Below are 2,607 nucleotides of genomic sequence, written 5' to 3'. Positions count from 1 at the left end.
CCTGGGCAATGGCGGGCGCCCCTCCCCCAGCCTTGCTGCCACCTTGCAGCTTGATCTCAGACTGCTGTGCTAGCAATCAGCGAGACTCTGTGGGCGTAGGACCCTCCAAGCCAGGTGAGGGATATAATCTCCTGGTGCGCCATTTTTTAAGCCTGTTGGAAAAGCACAGTATTGGGGTGGGAGTGACCCTATTTTCCAGGTGCCGTCTGTCACCCCTTTCTTTGACTAGGAAAGGGAACTCCCTGACTCCTTGCGCTTCCCGAGTGAGGCAATGCCTCGCCCTGCTTCGGCTTGCGCACGGTGCGCTGCACCCACTGTCCTGCGCCCACTGTCTGGCACTCCCTAGTGAGATGAACCCGGTACCTCAGATGGAAATGCAGAAATCACCCATCTTCTGCGTTACTCACGCTGGGAGCTGTAGTCCGGAGCTGTTCCTTTTTGGCCATCTTGGCTCCCCGACTGAGCAATTTATAAAGAACAGAAATCTATTTCTTACAGTTCTGAATGCTGGGTGGCCCATATTGGGTGTGGGTGTTCTTGATAATTCATTCTGTGATAGAAGGAGGAAGGGCAGGGGAGCACACACACACAAAAGAGGAGAAAAGTTGTACAAACACATCTTTTTAATCAGGAGACCACTCCATCAATAATAGCATTAATGTATATATGAGGGCAGAGCCCTCATGACCTAATCACCTCTTAAAGCTTTCACCTCTCAATACTGTGGCTTTGGGAGTTAAGTTGTCAACACATGATTTGGGTGGGGGATACATTTAAACCATCACAGAAAAAAAAAAAAGGTCTCTGAAGAGATAATTCTTGTTAGAGTATTTTATAAGAAATACAAAGATTTCAGGCCCCGAGCCCACGGGTCTGTGCGGATGGTAGGGATGCCGACCCTACCGAGGAGGAGATGGCAGAAACGGAGAGAAACGAGGAGGAGCTGTTCGAATGCCAGGAACTGCTCGAGTGCCAGGTGCAGGTGGGGGCCCCCCAGGAGGAGGAGGAGGACGAGGGCCTAGTGGCCGAGGCCGAGGCCGTGGCTGCCGGCTGGATGCTCGATTTCCTCTGCCTCTCTCTTTGCTGAGCTTTCCGCGATGGCCGCTCGGAGGACTTCCGCAGGACCCGCAACAGCGCAGAGGCTATTATTCATGGACTATCCAGTCTAACAGCTTACCAGTTGAGAACGATATACATATGTCAGTTTTTGACAAGAATTGCAGCAGGAAAAACCCTTGATGCACAATTTGAAAATGATGAACGAATTACACCCTTGGAATCAGCCCTGATGATTTGGGGTTCAATTGAAAAGGAACATGACAAACTTCATGAAGAAATACAGAATTTAATTAAAATTCAGGCTATAGCTGTATGGAAAATGGCAACTTTAAAGAAGCAGAAGAAGTCTTTGAAAGAATATTTGGTGATCCAAATTCTTATATGCCTTTGAAAAGCAAATTGCTTATGATAATCTCTCAGAAAGATACATTTCATTCCTTTTTTCAACACTTCAGCTGCAACCACATGATGGAGAAAATTAAGAGTTATGTGAATTATGTGCTAAGTGAAAAATCATCAACCTTTCTAATGAAGGCAGTGGCAAAAGTAGTAGAAAGCAAAAGGACAAGAACACTAACTTCTCAAGATAAACCTAATGGTAATGATGTTGAAATGGAAACTGAAGCTAATTTGGATACAAGAAAAATTGTTAGTGACAAACAGTCTGCGGTAACTGAATCCTCAGAGGGTACAGTATCCTTATTGAGGTCTCACAAGAATCTTTTCTTATCTAAGATGCAACATGGAGCCGAGCAACAAGACCTTAATAAGAAAGAAAGAAGAATAGGAATTCTTCAAAGTACAAAAAAGAATAAAGAAAGCAGAAAAGCCACTGAAAGCAGAATACCTGTTTCAAAGAGTCAACCGGTAACTCCTGAAAAACATCGAGCTAGAAAAAGACAGGCATGGCTTTGGGAAGAAGACAAGAATTTGAGATCTGGCATGAGGAAATATGGAGAGGGAAACTGGTCTAAAATACTGTTGCATTATAAATTCAACAACCGGACAAGTGTCATGTTAAAAGACAGATGGAGGACCATGAAGAAAGTAAAACTGATTTGCTCAGACAGCAAAGGCTGATTGTGTTTGTAAAAGCTTGATGAAAGGACAGTTAAGTATTTTGATCACTGCATTTTGTTTGAAACTTGTGTCATTGATGTAATTTAAGACTTTTGTTTAAAGCATTACAGTATTTTTCTGTGACCATCAATTAATATGAGGGTTTGTGCTATAAGTATTAAAGCATATGCTATCATTGTACTCTTTAAGAACCTTATTTTGATAAAATGTAAATTTGTTGAACCCTGCCACATTTAGTATCCCCACCCCCAAATCCTGTTCCAATGAAAAAATTAAAACCTGATACGAAAAAAAAAAAACCAAATTCAGTTAACCTATTTTGTGTCTGTAGGTTGACCTCAACCCTGTAACGTAACCCATTAAAATGAATTTTCTTTTTTTTTAAGACAGAGCTTCTCTCTGTTGCCCAGGCTGGAGTGCAATGGCACAATTTCAGCTCACTGCAACCTCTGCCTCCCGGGTTCAAGC

The 2,607-nt window shown here is 43.1% G+C and overlaps 1 pseudogene; it reads left to right on the top strand.

Annotated features, from left to right (window-relative positions):
* TERF1P4 (TERF1 pseudogene 4) lies at window positions 856-2,333 on the top strand (annotated as a pseudogene).
* Window positions 2,334-2,607: the final 274 nt, after the last annotated feature.

Source organism: Homo sapiens, chromosome X (assembly GCF_000001405.40).
Source record: "Homo sapiens chromosome X, GRCh38.p14 Primary Assembly".
Lineage (NCBI taxonomy): Eukaryota > Metazoa > Chordata > Mammalia > Primates > Hominidae > Homo > Homo sapiens.
This window is presented reverse-complemented; position numbering and strand designations above follow the sequence as displayed.